Source organism: Homo sapiens, chromosome 1 (genome assembly GCF_000001405.40).
Source record: "Homo sapiens chromosome 1, GRCh38.p14 Primary Assembly".
NCBI classification, from domain to species: Eukaryota; Metazoa; Chordata; class Mammalia; order Primates; family Hominidae; genus Homo; species Homo sapiens.
This window is the reverse complement of record NC_000001.11, coordinates 32,482,953-32,501,786: the sequence shown is the minus strand read 5'-3', so window position 1 is coordinate 32,501,786 and position 18,834 is coordinate 32,482,953. Positions and strand designations below refer to the sequence as shown.

At 44.7% G+C, this 18,834-nt stretch overlaps 1 protein-coding gene across 1 annotated transcript in view, besides 2 other annotated features; it reads right to left on the bottom strand.

Moving 5' to 3' along the window:
- Positions 882-1,151: a silencer, noted in NCBI's record as "silent region_600". NCBI's record gives its function as "represses an Ori minimal core promoter by ATAC-STARR-seq in GM12878 lymphoblastoid cells {active_cell/tissue: GM12878}" and the evidence as "EXISTENCE:reporter gene assay evidence [ECO:0000049][PMID:35858748]".
- Positions 1,242-1,371: a silencer, noted in NCBI's record as "silent region_599". NCBI's record gives its function as "represses an Ori minimal core promoter by ATAC-STARR-seq in GM12878 lymphoblastoid cells {active_cell/tissue: GM12878}" and the evidence as "EXISTENCE:reporter gene assay evidence [ECO:0000049][PMID:35858748]".
- Positions 5,101-18,834, bottom strand: part of ZBTB8B (zinc finger and BTB domain containing 8B) — a 31,615-nt gene continuing 17,881 nt past the window's right edge. Inside the window, exon 4 of the mRNA NM_001145720.2 lies at positions 5,101-16,686. Within this exon, the coding sequence (NP_001139192.1) occupies positions 16,369-16,686 (318 nt within the window). The 3' untranslated portion in view covers positions 5,101-16,368. The remainder of the gene's footprint in view (positions 16,687-18,834) is intronic.

Sequence of the window (18,834 nt, the reverse complement as noted above, 5' to 3'; positions counted from 1 at the left end):
CCCCTTGAACCCAGGAGGTGGAGGTTGGAGTGAGCTGAGATCGTGCCACTGCACTCCAGCCTGGGCAACAGAGTGAGACTCCATCTCAAAAAATAAAAATAAAATAAAATAAATGACAGCAACAGATTATAACCTAACAGCCAGGCCCAGTGGTGCGCCTACAATGCCAAGTTATGCCAGAGGCTAAGGCAGCAGCCCAGGACTTCGAGACCAGCCTGGGCAATATAGTAGAACTCCCCATCAGCTAAAAAAGAAAAAAAAAAAGGAAACCATGTGTCCATATGTATGAAAAAAAAAATAAATGGGCCGGGTACGGTGGCTCACACCAGTAATCCCAGCCCTTTGGGAGGCCAAAGCCGGCGGCACACGCCTGTAGTCCCAGCTACTCGGGGGACAGAAGTGGGAGGACTGGTTGAATCCGGGAGGTTGAGGCTGCAGTGAACGGTGATCGCACCACTACACTCCAGCCTAGGTGCCAGAGCGAGACTTTGTCCCAAAAATAAAAATAAGGTTTAAAAGGTTTGATGAGAAATGGTGATTCATGAAAATTCAAAGTACCACCCTACAAAATACTGTTATTATAACTGCCAAGTGAGTGTGACCTTACAGCGGAGAAGCCTACAGACAGCATCTTAAAGATAAAAGTGAGCATCATCAGTGATGAGACAAATTGACAAGCTGAAATTGTGTGCCACTAGACGTGCTGCGTTGAGAAGACCGCAGCAGCCCTTCTGTGACAGTCCTGTCTAGGATAAAGAACCTGAATCCAGTCGAGATGAGACAGACAAAGCCCAATTGAGGGAAGTTCTGCAAATTCGCTGGCTCGCGCCCCGCCCCCGGCGGCTGCTGTCTCTGCGCGGCGCAGACCAAGCCTCCCCGGAGTCCGCCGCGCCGGACGGCTCCAGACACGCCCGACGCCGTCCCCGCCGCCTTCCCGCCGCCGCCGCCGCCGCCGCCAGGAGGCTCCGCGCGCCTTCCCGGCTTTCCCCGGGCCGGGCCGGGCGGCGACAGCGGCGCGGCCATTGTTCCGCAGCCCCTTCCGGGCGCGCAGGAGAGGCCGGCCGGCCGGGCGCGGGGAGGGACGGCCGGGAGCCGGTGCCCGCCAACGCCCACCGCCGCCGCCCGCGCCTCCTCCTTGGCCGTTCCCAACCCCTCGGAGACAGCGCTGCAGCTGCTGCGCCCCAGGCTGCAAATGGCGCCCGCTCGGCTTGGCGCCTCCGGCCTCGCTCTCGGCCGGGAGACGGCTGAGGGCCGCACGCCCGTGGCCCGCATCCCAACGCCGCCGCCGCCGCCGCCCGCTACCAGGCTGGTTGCAGGTCCGGGGCAGCCCCGACGCCCTCCCGCCCTCTCGCCCTCTCGCCCTCTGCCCGCGCTGCGCGCAGCGGCAATCATTCCCCCTCCACCCCTCCTGCCAAGGGGACCTACGGGCGTCCCAAGAACAATAATTAGATTATTTTAAAATTGTAAAATACATAACAATATCATTTAAAAATGCAACTTAGGGACATTAAAGATATTCATGGCGTGCAACCATCAGTACTATCTAGTTCCAAAACTTTCTCATCGCCCCAAAGGCACCGGCACCATGAGCACTCAAGTCATTCCCCATTCCCTCCTTCCCTCAGCCTCCACCAACCGCCACTGGACTTTTTGTCTCCACGGATTTGCCTATTCAGGATCTTTTTCTCTCCCTTCCTCCCTTCCGTTCCTTCCTTCCTTTTTTTTTTTTTTTTTTTTTTTTGACGGAGTCTCTCTCTGTTGCCCAGGTTGGAGTGCAATGGCGCAATCTCGGCTCACTGCAAGCTCCGCCTCCCGGGTTCACGCCATTCTCCTGCCTCAGCCTCCCGAGTAGCTGGGATTACAGGCGCCTGCCACCAGGCCCGGCTAATTTTTTGTATTTTTAGTAGAGATGGGGTTTCACTATTGCTGTCCAGGCTGGTCTCGAACTCCTGACCTTGTGATCCGCCCGCTTCGGCCTCCCAAAGTGTTGGGATTACAGGCGTGAGCCACCGCGCCCGGCCAGGATATTTCGTATAAATGGAATCAAACAATATGTGGTCCTTTGTGACTGGCTTCTCTCACCTGAAGCAATGTTTCAAAGGTTCCTCCATGTTGTAGCAGGCATCAGAACTTCCTTTTAATGGATGAATAATATTCCACCTGTGTGTGTGCGCGCATGTGTGTGTGTGACATTTTTGTTCATTAGTTGATGAACATTTGGGTATTTCCACCTTTAGGCTATTGTGAACAGAGCTGCTATGAACCTTTGTGTACAAGTTTCAGTTTGAACACCTGTTTTCAAATAACTAAATACACTTTACTCTCCTTCTAATGGAAAACTCTACAGCCACCTGCAGTTTTTTCCCCCATTAATTCTGGGAGCTCCTGGAAGTATATCATGTGCATTCCTCTCAAATTTCCTGCCAGCCATGATTTTATTTATTTAGGAGACATGTAGGTCAACTTTCCTGCCCCTCTCCAGGGCCCCTTCTCAGGGGACCTGTCCCCATGACCACCACTCATCCTTAGTCAGAGCCTCATGCTTCCTGACCCAAGGGGTGCCATGTGATCTGAGGGAACCGATCTTTTGCTGGGCAGAAACTGAGGTGTTTTCCTTTGGAAGATTTGGACTGAAGGACAGGACAGTGGTTAGGTCAGGGCTGGGCAGCACTTTTGAGCTGAGGAATGGGCAGGAGAAAGGTGGTCTTCTGAGAGTAGCCGGGGACCCCACACAGGCACAAAGAGAAGTGTACAGGAAACATGGGCAAGGCACATGACTGACCAGGAGCAGCCTCAGCCCTGCTTTCCAATTCCAGGTGATCTGCTGATTTCCTCTCCCAGAATGATCGTAAAGTCACTCACTTTAATTAGAAACAAATCCTCTTAAAACTATTCTCGGTCGGGCGTGGTGGCTTATGCCTGTAATCCCAGCAGTTTGTATGGCCAAAGCAGGTGGATCGCTTGCGGCCAGGAGTTCGAAACCATCCTGGCCAACTTGGCAAAACCCTGTCTCTACTAAAAATACAAAAATCAGCCGGGCATGGTGGCAGGCGCCTGTAATCCCAGCTATGCAGGAGGCTGAGGCAGGAGAATCACTTGAACCCAGGAGGCAGAGGTTGCAGTGAGCCAAGATCATGCCACTGCACTCCAGCCTGGGTGACAGAGCGAGATCCTGTCTCAAAAAAATAAAATAAAAAATAAAAACTATTCTCAAAACTTTTTTATTTTTATTTCTTTTTTGTGAGACTGAGTCTCGCTCTGTTGTCCAGGCTGGAGTACAATGGCACAATCCCGGCTCACTGCAACCTCTGCCTCCTGGGTTCAAGTGATTCTCCTGCCTCAGCCTCCCAAGTACCTGGGATTACAGGCTCCCGCCACCACGCTCAGCTAATTTTTTTGTATTTTTAATAGAGACGAGGTTTCACCAGGTTAGCCAGGCTGGTCTGGAACTCCTGATCTCAGGTGATCCACCTGCCTCGGCCTCCCAAAGTGCTGGGATTACAGGCGTGAGCCACCATGCCCGGCCTTGTTTTTAGTTTTTGAGACAGGGTCTCACTTTGTTGTCCAGGCTAGAGTGTGGTGGTGCAATCATGGCTCACTGCAGCCTCGATTTCTTGGGCTCAAGTGAGCCTCCCACCTCAGCCTCCAGAGTAGCTGTGACTACAGGCACATGCCACCACACCCAGCTAATTTTTGTATTTTTTGTAGAGGCTGGGTTTCACCATGTTGTCCAGGCTGGTCTTGAACTGGTGAGCTCATGTGATCAGCCTGCCTCGGCCTTCCCAAAGTGCTGGGATTCAGGCGTGAGCCACTGTGTCCAGCCTATTCTCAAACTTTAGTTTGCATCAGAATCTCCCTAGATGATGCCGATCCTGCTGGTTCCGAGACCACACTTTACGAATCATTGCTTTAAGCTTGTTTGAGTGTCTGTTCTTTGAAGCCAAATGTGCCCTAACCAAGACAGGTTATCTGGATTCCCTCTGTGAGGTTTGGTGCTGAATTGTAGGTGTCAGGAAAACTGAAATCCCAGCTGCCTCTAGTGTTAACCCTTAGAGCCCATCCAGCAGGGACTCAACCTCTCTTGCTCCTGCCTGGGCCACACCTGTACTGAGAACACCCTGAGGACATGCAGTATTGCGGAAGTGCAGGGCAATGCCCCTGCCCTCCTACCTGGCATCAGGTGTTTAAAGCATTGCAGCAGTATTTAAATAAAAAAAAAAAAAGCAGTACAGTTTGAACTCCTAGCATCTCACCAAGATTATAGATCATGCTCAGTTTCTGCATGTAGCTCTCAAACGGAAGGCTTAGGCATACTTCCTTGGAGCTGAGCCAAGTGACCATCTTTCTCCTGGCCAGATCCTTCTAGTGACTTCTCTAAAAAAACTTCATACAGATCAGCGGTGCCCGCTCCACTGACCTTCATACATACCAGACATGTTTAAATCCTAGTGATGCTCACAGATTGGTCCAAAGTAGGGACTTATTCTACCTCCATCATCCCTACATAAGGAATAAAAGATCTCCTGTCCCACCCAACATCATAGGTAGGCAATTCTCTGTGAAGGGCCAGATAGTAAATATGTTAGGCTTTGTGGATAAAGGTGTCTGTAGCAACCACTCACCTTTGTCATTGATGGCATAAACAATGACAAAAAGGAATGGATGTGCCTGTCTTCCAATATAACTTTATTTACCAAAAAAACAGGCAGCAAGCAGGATTTAGCCTAACCCCTGTTCTACCTAGTAGCTTTTTTTCCTATTACTAAATGAAGTTAATGAGTCTTTAAACAGATGGAAACATATTTAGTGTTAGCAGTTCTATATTATTATGGGAATCCTTTAAAAATTTATAGGCTATACATGTTTTTCTTAAGAGCAGGCAGCGAGCCCAGCTAATCTTAAATAAACCCAGCCTCAACATTTAAAAAAATGTAAAATTATATCAATACATTGCTGAAACTAAACCAATTTTGTCTTCAAAAGAGAAATATTTGAAACTGTTGTTTAAGCAGAAATAATTTTTAAAATAAAAATATGCACATATGTCTTAAAGATTTATATAAAAAATGGAATGCCAAACAACTGAAAGGAGAAATCAGATTTAGATTATATCCACGAATTTATTCTCTCGTAATTTTAGTTCTTTATATATAAAAAAGTAAAAACAGCAAAACAATACAACCTGGGCAACACTGACCTATATAAACAGACCTGGTACATTACCACTTAAAAACCAATTCAATTCCAAAAAGCAGAAACTGTCTTACTTGTTAAACAAGGTATCAGTTGCTATTTTTTTAATGGTCAAGATGATTTCCAACTCTGGCTCCTCTTTTTAATAAATATGTTTTGACAAGTGCCTTTGTAATGAACTAATCCATTTGCAAACTTGGCAGGCAAAGATAAAGTCAGTTTCTGTTTTTCTTCCGAGAGCTGTTGGACAGTGTGTAACTGTAGAGCTCGGCACGTAGAATGGCTGCACTTCCTGTGATTTTTGAGTTGTCTGCCTTACTTTTTTCATACATTGCATCATCAATTACCCATTCATCAGACAGTAGTCAGTCTTCTTTCACAGAATCTAAAATGTCCCAGCTTGGGATAGTCTGCCAGAAATTGTCTCGTATTACTAAATTGTTGGTCCTAAGACCGTGGGACAAAAAAGTGGGAAAAACGGTTTGATGGAAGCTTCTTCTGTTTAGAGCTCTAATAGTTCTCTTTATTTTGTGGGGTTATTTTTTTCCTTAACTAAAATCTTGTCCATAAAATTCTCCATTAGAATTTTATATAAAATAATTGCCCTGAGAAAAACAGTAACTAAAATTATGAAGGGTTATTCACTCATTAATGTGAGACGATCCTCAATTCCTTATTGCATTCATTCAATTAAAAAAAAACCTTTTTTTTTGAGACAGGGTCTCATTCTGTTGCCCACGCTGGAGTGTGGTGACATGATCCTAGTTCACTGCAGCTTTGAACTTCTGGGCTCAAGCAATCCTCCTGCCTCAGCCTTTGGAGTAGCTGGGACTACAGGTGTACACTACCACACCCAGCTAACAACTCATTCTAAAGAAACTGTTTTAACTATTTTAACCTTAGCCATTTTAAATTTATAGGTACCAAATTCAGGTCAGCTTCAAATTTGGGACGGTACAGAAAATAGTTAAATTGTATTTGTTTCCGAGGACAAAATGAGCAACAGAGGAACAAAGGACTTTTTCCTTTGTTGAGGCCACTCCTATTCTAAACTTGTAACTAGGGTGTTTCAATCTGACTGTATATAAATCAAAACAAAAATTTAGCTTGAGATTATTTCCATTTACTCCCAGGTTGATTTAACCAAATTAAAGATAATTTGCATTTTTGATGGCCCTAAGTTAATTTTAATCCCAAACTAGATAAATATTTCATTAAAAACCAGGAATACTGCATCTAGGTATTTTTAGATTAAGTGGCTAATCTGTTTTTCTAATAATTCTTATATATAATTGCAGCCCTTTAAATAAAACTAGCTTTTGCAGTAGACTGATTAAAATCCACTGAGTCAAGAAATACCTAAGAATACATTTTTACTCAATACCATCTTATCATGTGGGCTGCTGACTTAAAAATATGTGGTTTTCTGTTTCAAATAAGATTGTTCTTGTTACATTCCCTGAATCACACCCAATTTATATTTCAAAAATCAGTTAGAGGCCGGACATGGTGGCTCACACCTGTAATCTCAGCACTTTGGAAGGCTGAGGCGGGTGTATCACCTGAGGTTAGGAGTTCGAGACCAGCCTGACCAAAATGAAACCCCATCTCTTCTAAAAATACAAAAATTAGCCGGGCATGGTGGCATACCTCTGTAATCCCAGCTACTCAGGAGGCTGAGGCATGAGAACTCTTTGAACTCTGGAGGCGGAGATTGCAGTGGGCCGAGATTGCACCACTGCACTCCAGCCTGGGTGACAGAGTGGAACTCTGTCTCAAAAAAGAAAGAAGGAAAAAAATCAGCGAGGTTGGAAAAAATCACTTCAAGTTAATAATATATATATTTTTACTTTTGAAATTTTTTATAAGTAAAATGAATACATTACAATCAAACACAGAACACATATTAAGTGGACAATAAATATTTTAATTTGCCTTTTGTGTGTATGTGAGTGTGAGTGTGTTCCATGGTGGTTTATGTTTTAGATATGTGTGGTATTACAGGACAAAGAAATTAACTCCCCCATGCTCAAAATGTGATTTCCCCCTCCCTGTCTAAGCATTGCAAGAATGCAGACCATAATCACACAATGCATACTTTATCATATGAGGCCAAAACAGCATTTTCCTCTCCTGTGCCTCTGGTCTGATGGATACCCAGGGAAACAAATGTTATCTATGAATGGTCTTTTCTGCCTGCCCAAACATGTCTGTCTATTATCAGGACTGGCCTGGCAGGACCTGGTTTCTGATCCTAACCAGCTGTGTGAGAACTAGAAACGTCATTTCATCTGTCACATGGAGTTGGACTAGACTATCTCTCCTGTCCCTTCTAACTTTCAAATCTCTTGATTTAATGGTTCTGTCCTATATGTATCCTGATTTCTTTTTTTTTTTTTTTTTTTTTTTTGAGATGGAGTTTTGCTCTCGTTGCCCAGGCTGAAGTGCAGTGGTGTGATCTCAGCTCACTGCAACCTCCACCTCCTGGGCTCAAGCAATTCTCCTTCCTCAGCTTCCCAAGTAGCTGGAATTACAGGCTAATTTTGTATATTTTTAGTAGAGATGGGGTTTCACCATGTTGGTCAGGCTGGTCTCAAACTCCTGACCTCAAGGGATCCACCCACCTTAGCCTCCCAAAATGCTGGGATTACAGGCGTAAGCCCCGACGCCTGGCATGTATCCTGATTTCTGGGGTATTAATTAGTTCACATGGCCAGCCAAGACCCACTCCAGATGCAGTGGGGCTCCTCCCCATCTGTCACAGTACACTGGATCAACATAATGGGAAGTTATCTGTTGTTGTCATTTCATTTTTACTTGAAAAATAATTTACATACTATATTATTTTTTAAATAAGAAAACCATATTATTATTATTTTTTATTTTTTTGAGATGGAGTCTCACTCCGTCGCCCAGGCTGGAGTGCAGTGGCATTATCTCAGCTCACTGCAACCTCTACCTCCCGAGTTCAAGCGATTCTCCTGTTTTGTATTTTTAGTAGAGACGGAGTTTCACCATGTTGGCCAGGCTGGTCTTTAACTCCTGACCTCAGGTGATCCACCCCCGTTGACCTCCCAAAGTGCTGGGATTACAGGCATGAGCCACTGCTCCCGGCCAGAAAACCATATTATTTTTTAAAAAAGAAAACCACCCAGTCAGGCACAGTGGCTCACGCCTGTAATCCCAGCACTTTGGGAGGCTGAGGCAGGCAGATCACGAGGTCAGGAGATCAAGACCATCCTGGTCAACATGGTGACACGCCATCTCTTATAAAATACAAAAAATTAGCTGGGCGTGGTGGCACACGCCTGTAGTGCCAGCTACTCGGGAGGCTGAGGCAGGGGAATCACTTGAACCTGGGATACGGAGGTTGCAGTGAGCCAAGATCGCGCCACTGCACTCCAGCCTGGCGACAGAGTGAGAGTCTGTCAAAAAAACAAAAAAAACAAACCTGATGCATATTTCCTAAAGACTACAACATTCTGATATTCTATGTATAGTATATATTTTTGCATAACTGAATAAAACACATAATTTAAACACTGTTAGTGACCAAAGCCACCATGTTTGAGAAAAGGCAATAAATTTCAGCAACTGTTTAAACTGCTTATAAATATAGTATGCCAAAGCTGGAAGTTTACTGGATAGGAAGAGTAGCTTAGACAGAAAGCGTCTCTGAGGCTCTATGACTGGCTAGGTACCCGACCCACGCGTTCTCAGAGTACCCTGTGCTTGTCCCTGTTGTCACACCCAACATGCCGTGTTATAACTGCCAGTCTCTGTGATTACACACTGCAGGATCCTTGAGGGCAGGGATGGTGCTGGTTCACTGAAGTACCCTTCGTGCTTGACATACAGTAAAGACTCCATAAATAATTGTTTGATAACTACTGAATGAGTAACCAGCCATCTTCACTCATTGATCTGCTGGGAGCAACAGAAGCAGGCAAGAGTAGCACCACATGACACAGGAATAAGAGGCACGGTTTCCAAGAGCAGGCCGGACGCAGTGACTCACGCCTGTAATCCCAGCACTTTGGGAGGCAGAGGCGGATTGCCTGAGGTCAGGCCGAGATCAGCCTGACCAACATGGTGAAACCCTATCTCTACTAAAAATACAAAAATTAGCCGGGCGTGGTGGCGGGCGCCTGTAATCCCAGCTACTCAGGAGGCTGAGACAGGAGAATCGCTTCAATCCAGGAGGCGGAGGTTGTGGTGAGCCGAGATTGCACCACTGCACTCCAGCCTGGCAACAAGAGTGAAACTCCATCTTTAAAAAAAAAAAAAAAAAAAAAAAGGCACGGTTACCAAGAGCCTGTGTTTGGTGTTTGCCAGATGGCCAAAGGCTCCCATCAAAATATGACTGATGGAATACTCAGACATGTCCATTCAATAATGTCCCTACAGTACGACATACTATACTCACCTATTATGAGTGACACCAAAGGATACATGATATTTTGGCTAGGATCATTTTGACTGTTAAGCCAACTCTTACACACACCTTACCAAAATTTGCAAACTGTCTATTAATCACAAGCAACTAAGCACCAACAACACTATTCAAGAAAGGAAAAATGAGTTAGGGTGGGTTATATTTTACTAGGAAATTCCTCTGGCTATATTCTATAGGAATTAGGTGTAATATCTGTTATGCAATTGCTTAGCATAGTGTTTGGCAAAGTATTAACAAAGCCTCTTTCCCTTCTGCATGAGAATTTTACCTTTGTTAACTTTCTAGCTCTGTTCCCCTGGCAACCTAATAAAAATTCATATGTCAACTGCTAGGCAATGTTACATATGGTAGACATGATGCCCAATTGGTAAACTGCATCTGGACTGGGAGAACTATAAATGCCTGATAGGAAGCCTCAGCTCTGGGCATCCCTAAGTACAGTGACGCTTGGAACAGGCATGTCTTTTATAGGGACACTGGAGGCCATGTCTATGAAGCTGTTATAAGAGATACTTGTTCCTGTGGGACAAGGGGCTCTTAAGCCGGGGAAGCTTCCATACTTGCCCCATGTAGATCTGTCTCCTTGCACCTGCACTATGCCACACAGACAGCTGCAGAGACTTTCAGAGAAGAGCAACTGGTTCTGCCTTGCTAGTAAGCAGTGCTTCCCATTCTATATCCTTTTAAGTGAATCTGATGCCAAGTGTGGCAGTTTATAAATTTGAATGTTTCTAAACCTTCAGTTGGGCCTAAGACCCTTGGAGGGCACTGCAGTATTATTTGCATGTTTTTCTGATGGCAGTAGATGCTCCTCAGGGGCTATGGATGGTAAAAGATGTGAAACTGTTTGGTATGTTTTTCTACTTCCAAAAAAATCCTGACCATACCCTTCACTGTATGCATGACAGATAATCCATATCCATTACATGTCACCAAGACCTGTATATGAAATTGATGCCTTCCTTCAAAATCCCCAAGCTTGTTACTACTAAACCTTCCTCATCAAAGCACATAATCCCTGCCCTAACCTCCACTGATTAACTGACAAAGGTCCAGAAATCAAATGATGGATATAAAAATTGCCCCCCCTAAAACCACAATTGTCAATGAAGAATTGGCAGTAGTAAAATAATCTACCTGGAGGGTCAAGACGGATGCTAAATGTTCTCCTTCAGTTATGAAGTTTCCATGTCATCCGATCATGCAGTCATGTGAGTTACTGTCACCTTTTAAAACTAGGATATATTTAGGCCGGGCGCGGTGGCTCACGCCTGTAATCCTAGCACTTTGGGAGGCCGAGGCGGGTGGATCACAAGGTCAGGATATTGAGACTATCCTGGCTAACACGGTGAAACCCCGTCTCTACTAAAAATACAAAAAATTAGCTGGGCATGGTGGCGGGTGCCTGTAGTCCCAGCTACTCAGGAGGCTGAGGCAGGAGAATGGCATGAACCCAGGAGGCGGAGCTTGCAGTGAGCCGAGATTGTGCCACTGCACTCCAGCCTGGGCAACAGAGCGAGACTCCGTCTCAGAAAAAAAAAGAAAAGAAAAACAACAACAACAACAAAAACTAGGACATGTTTAGGAACCAACCAAACTACTCTGACCCCAAAACACTTTTCGTTTTTCTCTACAGAAACATCATTTGAAGAAAAGAATTCAAATTTCCAGCACTACAATGAAAGGTTTGTGGAACACAGTACTGTTGAGTGGAGAGAACTACAAAAGCAACAGAAATCAATGAAAACAGTGCCCATCATATGCACCTGAATAAAGTGTCCCTTTATCAGGTTAGAAGATAGTGTGATCACATGAAAACACAAGGCAAGCTACAAGAGACCAGCAACAACAGGAAGCACAGTGGGAATGCTCAAAACAGAGCATAATAGGAACTTCTCACCCATCCCAACCCTTTGCCCCTCCCTACCCCATTACACTAGACTTCACAGAGATCATTCTCTTAATGCACAAGGGACACACACAAGAAAAATCTAGAGTTCCAAATAAAACAGTCTGAGTTCAGTTAACCAAAGGCCACTCCACTCTTTCCTACGGCTCCCAGAATCAGTGCATGCAGCCCTACCTGTTGCCTTTCTCTCCCTGGGGTTTGTCACGACATCAATGAACAATAACAAAAAAAACCCATCTCAGTATTCCAAACCACCAGAATACTCAATTCCATAACATGTTGCAGAACACTAGGTCAGCAGCTTCCTTAAGGAATATTCAAAGTCTGGTGGCCACCAAAATATTTACATCAGAACGGCATCTTTCTGCCAAATGATCAGAATCATGATGCACTATGTCATTTCTTAATTATTATAGGTAAGGCCCTATTTACATTCCTTCTCAACTTTTGAGAAGGGGGTCCTCATCCCCCAAGAGAAATAACTTCCCAAGAATGCCATTTTGGAATTCCATTACAAGTAAGAGTCCTGTTCCCATTCATGCAATACATCTAATATGAGACGAAAATATCCCTTTGTGAACTTGGGTGGAATGTGCCAGAATAGAAACTAAACCACTAACGGTCTGTGTTGGGCTCAACTGTAAATTTACTTAGTATAAAAATACCACCAACCCCACAAATTAAACCTCAAAGACACTGTGATTATAAATACTGACCACCTAAAGGGGACCAATTTATGATCTGATAGTCTAGACAGAGGAAGTATCTCCTTTAAAAGTGATAGAACTCAGTGATCCAGTTATTGCCAGTGCCTATACACAAACTCCAAATAGTCCACCAGAAATGCAACAATCTGAGATATTACGAAAGAAAGAGAATCATTTAAACATTAGGTGTCACATTCTGTTTTCTTCCCAGTGATTCTGCTACTTTAAAAATTAACAAAATGATCAGAACCTAGTAACGATTCTGGGTGTATGAATGAGTCAGAATTTTCTAAGTTTCCACATTATAAACCTAAATCAGATCTTGGGCAAGCTATGAACCATCTGGCCTCAGCGCTTCATTTTACTAATCCACTATTTTCTAAAATTTGCGAGAGTATAAGGGGCTACTAAATATTATGAAGGTCAGCCAGGCACGGTGGCTCACGCCTGTAATCCCAGCACTTTGGGAGGCTGAGGCAGGCGGATCACTTGAGGTCAGGAGTTCAAGACCAGCCTGGCCAACATGGTGAAACCCCATTTCTACTAAAAATACAAAAATTGGCCAGGCGTGGTGGCGCGTGCCTATAATCCCAACTACTCAAGAGGCTGAGACAGAAGAATCTCTTGAACCTGGGAGGTGGAGGTTGCAGTGAGCCGAGATCACGCCATTGCACTCCAGCCTGGGTGACAAAGATGAAACTCCATCTCAAAATAAATAAATAAATACATAAAATAAAATTAAAAATAAATAAATATTATGCAGGTAAAAGGTAGCTTAAAATAGAACACAAAATTAAGTCCACTCATTAAAGATCCTTTAAAAAATCCTACTTTATCTTACAGCAGAGTTTCTCAACATTGGTATTACTGACATTTTGAATTGGAGAATTCATTGTTGTGGGGACTGTCCTGTGCATTTCAGGATGTTTGGCAGCTTCCCTGGCCTCTACCCACTAGATGCCAGTAGCCACCTGCAAGGCACGAAATCACCCCCAACTGAGAATCACTGTCCTACAGTGAAATCTCTAATGTAAAATGTTTTACCCAGGGATATGAAGAGGTCACGGAATCACTGAAGAGGATCATAGCTCCACTGGAGAAAGCAGGCAAAGAGGCTGAACTATGAGGTAGAAAAGTCATTAAAACATCAGAGATAATTTAAACAGAGAAAGCAAAAATATCAAACACTGTTCCTGGCCAAGTAAATCTTCTACACATCCATTTAGGTTTCCTTTTTGCTGAGATCCCTCTTTTAAAATAACAGCAAATATATGTATACATTTTTGGAGACAGTTTCGCTCTTGTTGCCCAGGCTGGAGTGCAGTGGTGTGATGTCGGCTCACAGCAACCTCCGCCTCCTGGGTTCAAGCGATTCTCCTGCTTCAGCCTCCTGAGTAGCTGGAATTACAGGCATGCGCCACCATGCCTGGCTAATTTTGTATTTTTAGTAGAGACGGGGTTTCTCCATGTTGGCCAGGCTGGTCTTGAACTCCCGACCTCAGGTGATCCACCTGCCTTGGCCTCCCAAAGTGTTGGGATTACAGGCGTGAGCCACTGCGCCTGGCCACAGCTAGTATTTTTATTTCAGATAAGACAAATATCTCTGGTCCCTGATAATTTTCAATGAGTAACTCTTGATCTAGAATATTTTTCTTTTATTTATTTATTTTATTATTATTTTTTTGAGACAAGGTCTCACACTGTTGCCCAGGCTGGAGTGGAGTGGCACGATTCCAGCTCACTGCAACCTTTTCCAGGCTCAAGTGTTCCTCTCGCCACAGCCTCCTGAGTAGCTGGGATTACAGGCACATGCCACCACTCCTGACTAATTTTTGTATTTTTGCTAGAGACGGGGTTTCGCCATGTTGGTCAGGCTGGTATCGAACTCCTGACCTCAAGTGTTCCATCTGCCTTGGCCTCCCAAAGTGCTGGGATTATAGGCGTGAGCCACCGCACACAGCCAAGAATGATATTTATCGAACTACCTGTGATAAGAGAAGTTTTAAATTTTCCATTCTACTGCAGACCAATACGTGGTCCTGCTGTACAGGCTGGTATCCAACCTCTGCACCATGTGGCCCTCTAGCTGACCAGAACTGAACTGGTCCATACCTCACTCAAGAAGACAAAGCCATGAGTCACAGCAATGTCAAAGTGTTATCAACATTTCTATATGTGTATTCTTAATTTCTGACTTTCCTTGTAGCAGACTGGTAGAAAACAGTTTACAGAACAGGGCCTCTCTGTGGGCCAGAGTTTGAGTTGCACTGTTCCAGTTTTAACTACTATTGAGAAGTACGACTTAAACACCTGTCTAATGCTTTGGCTAACATTTACAAGCCAATTTATAATGTTTTTGACTTTTTTGTTGTTCAAGAGGTAGAAATAAAAGTGACTTTTACCACCTTTTGAAAGACAACTACACTTAAAGGAAGACAAGAAGATTTCTTTTAAAATCCATTTTGGATATTTTAACATAAGACAAAATTATGGAAATTGCCTTCAATTACATTCCGAATTCCTAACACTGCCTGCCCTTTAGCCCTTTAAAGAGTTCAGCCTCTTTTGTTACAATAATTGTGTGGCTGGAAAGTGGGCGAAAGGTAGACTGCTTTTAAAAACCTGTTCTGCTACTAACCTTCCCTTTCCCTCATGAAGATCTTTTAAAAGATGAACATTTTAGAAATGTTACTTGGCATTATGGGCTTATACTTTCCCTCCAATTAAAGTTCTAGGCAAGGAGGTAGAAGGCAGGACTCAACTCCAAAGGCCGGACTCGGACATGGACCAAATTGAGGACTAGCTAAAACAGGGCGGTGGTGGGAGGGTGGTGCAGGAAGCAGATTTCCATAAGAAACACTTATCACTGTGCCATGTCAATTACCATTGCCATGGCAACACCTGGAAGTCACTGCCCCTTATCATGGCAACCACCCAGCGGCTTGGAAGTTACCACCATTTTCCTAAATATTGCTGCATAATCTGCCCCTTAATTTGCATGTAACTAAAAGTGGGTATAAATATAAGTGCCGACCTGCCTCTGAGCTACTACTCTGGGCACACTGCCTATGGTGTAGCCCTGCTCCACGAGGAGCGGCCCCTTAGCTGCTGTTGGGCACTGCTGCTTCAATACAAGCTGCTGTCTAACACCACTGGCTTGCCCTTGAATTCTTTCCTGGGTGAAGCCAAGAACTCCTCTGGGCTAAGCCCCAATTTTTGGGCTCACCTGCCCTACATCAGCATAAACTAAGTAAAAGAATGCCAGAGGCAGCTACATTTCCAAGTTACACAGCTCCAGCTTTTGGAAATTGCTGGAAAAAGTAGGGGAGCATTTTGAGTTTTGCCCAAATGAGTTGTTTTATGATAACAGAACAGGTTGTATGTGTAGAATCGTCAAATGCCAAACCAGACAGGGAAACCATCCAGACCTGGGGTCATAGCCTCCCTTCTCAGGGCTAACTTAAAATTTAATTCAACTGGGCAAGTCAGGATGCCATAATGAGCCTTTCAGATCATTCCCATGTTCGTCTGCCCATAAGTATTCCAAGCCTTTAAAATTGTTCTAGATTTAGGGAGTACCTTTTATGATCATGTAGCCAGACCGCCCTGCCTGCTTTATATCAATGAAGGTTTCTCTTTAATACTTTGCCAGAAAATTTAATGTGGAATTCATTAGGAAAGGCTTGGCAAAGGTAAACTTGATCCCAAAACTTAATGGTTTTTAGAGAAAGAGGATGATAACAAAGGAATGCAGAGGACTGAATCAATATAAAAACAAGCCTGGAGATTTTCTTATCTTTCTCCTAACCAGAGTTTGGACACACAGCAAGAAAAACAGGAGACCTCAGGGCCTGCTTTGACTCACTCAGAATTAAGGAGTGGCCAGCAAAGCCCTCAGAAACCAAGGGCACCACACAAAAAGGTTATCTGTCCTTTGAGTCACAAAATCCAACCTCTATCAGATAGTCTAATAAAAATGCACATATAATAACAGTGAAAAAATGTTCCTCTCAGGGTTCCACAAAATTGGACAAATGGTATCTTTCAACAACAGAACGAGCACTAACAAGTTTTAAAACCTCCTCTTCCCCACCAATTTATTGCTACGTAAGTGTCTCTCGGTCTGATAAGTTAGGCTGAATTTGTGGTTTGTCATCAGAATCATCTCCAGCAGGGTCATTTTCCTCACCCGACTCCACATAGATTGGCCAGTCATTGTCTGTGTCGCTCTTTTCTTGGCTTTCAGATGAAGCCTCCACCAAGCTAAGGTTGATGGGCATCAAATCATCATCATCATCGGGTGTGTCTGTAACGCAGGTGCAGCTGTCACACAGCCCGAAGCGCCGCAGCCCCTGGGACAGGTGACTCGTGAATGTTCTCCTGCAGCCCTTGCAGATGATTGGACGGTTGGATCTGTGGACCTGTAATCACAAGCAGACACAGTAGATGTCACAGAAAAGGAGATGAGTGTTTTCCACAAGGCCCCGTGTGATCTGGCCCCTGCCTGATCCTCCCGATTCCTTTTTCAGCACTCCACCTGCATTCTCTGCCACAGTCTTTGTATTAGTCTGTTCTTGCACTGCTATAAAGAAATACCTGAGACTGGGTAATTTATAAAGAAAAGAGGTTTAATTGGCTCACAGTTCCACAGGCTGTACAGGAAGCATGATGCTGGCATCTGCTTGGCTTCTAGGGAGGCCTCAGGAAACTTACAATTGTGGCAGAAGACAAAGGGGGAGCCGGCACTTCACATGGCCAGAGCAGGGGGAAGAGAAAGAAGGGGGAGGTAACACATATTTTCAAACAACCAGATCTCATGAAAACTCACTATCACGATGACAGCACCAAGTAGGGATGGCGTTAAACCATGAGAAACTGCCCCCATGATGCAACCACCTCCCACCAGGCCCCACTTCCAGCATTAGGGATTACATTTCAACATGAGATTTGAGTGGGGACAGAGATCCAAACCATATGAGTCTTCATCTTACCAAGGTTCTTTCTACCCCGGAGCCACCGGACACATGTGGGACATTCCCTTCTGCCCATCATCAACCCTTCACCCCTTATGAACACCTTGGAAGGAGGTCTTTCCTGATGCTCTAGGCCAGTTAGGGCCTCCACCTAGCGATTCTCACCCATACTTCTTCCTTTGTTGTACTTCTCACAAATTGTTCATAAAAGTCACTAGAGTGGAAGCTCTAAGAGGGCAGGGACAGAGTCTGTCCCATTCCTTACTATATCCCTAGTGCTTGGCATACAAAAAGCACTCAAATGAAAGTGAACTGATTGGGATTTTTTTTTTTTTTTTCCAGAGACAGGGTCTTTCTCTGTCACCCAGGCTGGAGTGCAGTGACATGATAATAGCTTACTAAAGCCCTGAACTCCTGGGCTCAAGCGATCCTCCCCCTCCAGCCTCCCAAGCAGCTGGGACCACAGGCGCCCACATATCATCATGCCTGGCTAATTTTTTATTTCTTGTAGAGGTGGAGTCTCACTATGTTGCCCAGACTGGTCTTGAACTCCTGGCCTAAAGTGATCCTTCCACCTTGGCCTCGTAAGGTGTTGAGATTTCAAGCGTGAGCCACCATAGTTGGCCAGGATTTTTTTTTTTAGAGATGGGGTCTTGCTATCTTGCTATGTTGCCCAAGCTGGACTTGAACTCCTGGGCTCGAGTGATCCCCCTGCCTCAGTTTCCCAAGTAGCTGGGAATATAGGTGTGTGCCACTGCATCTGACTCTCATTAGGATTTTTGACATGGTTTTTTTTTTCCCTCTCATTGGACACCTTTGGTAATTGACATTTTATTTATTTTTATTTTTATTAAAGTATACTTTAAGTTCTAGGGTACATGTGCACAACATGCAGGTTTGTTACATATGTATACACATGCCATGTTGGTGTGCTGCACCCATTAACTCGTCATTCACATTAGGTATTTCTCCTAATGCTGTCCTTCCCCCATCCCCCCACCTCTTGGATTGTTTAATTATTAGGAAGGCAGATTTGCTAGGGTAGACAGCTACATTCCTCAGATGTGCCAGCAGCTGCTTTGGGAACTATGTTTTTTTGTTGTTGTTTTTGTTTTGTTTTTTTTGAGACGCCGTCTTGCTCTGTTGCCCAAGCTGGAGAGCAGTGGCCCGATCTCGGCTCACTGCAACCTCCGCCTCCCAGGTTCAAGCAATTCTCCTGCCTCAGTCTCCTGAGGAGCTGGGACTACAGGCGCGTGCCACCAAGCCTGGCTAATTTTTTTTTTTTTTTTTTTTTTTTTTTTTTTGGATTTTTAGTAGATAAGGGGTTTCGCCACACTGGCCAGGCTGACCTCAAACTCCTGACCTCGGATGATCCGATGATCCATCCACCCCAGCCTCCCAAAGTGCTGGGATTACAGGTGTGAGCCACCGTGCTGGGCCTAGGAACTATCTTTTTAATGTGTACACTTTTCAGGAACTCCAGCCGATAGGGGCTCTGTGAACCAATCACAGCCTCTCTTCTAGAGAGCTCTGGGTGCAAGCAAGAGGCAGAGACGGGGAGAGGCTGATGCAGGAGAGCCACCCACAATTAGCGCA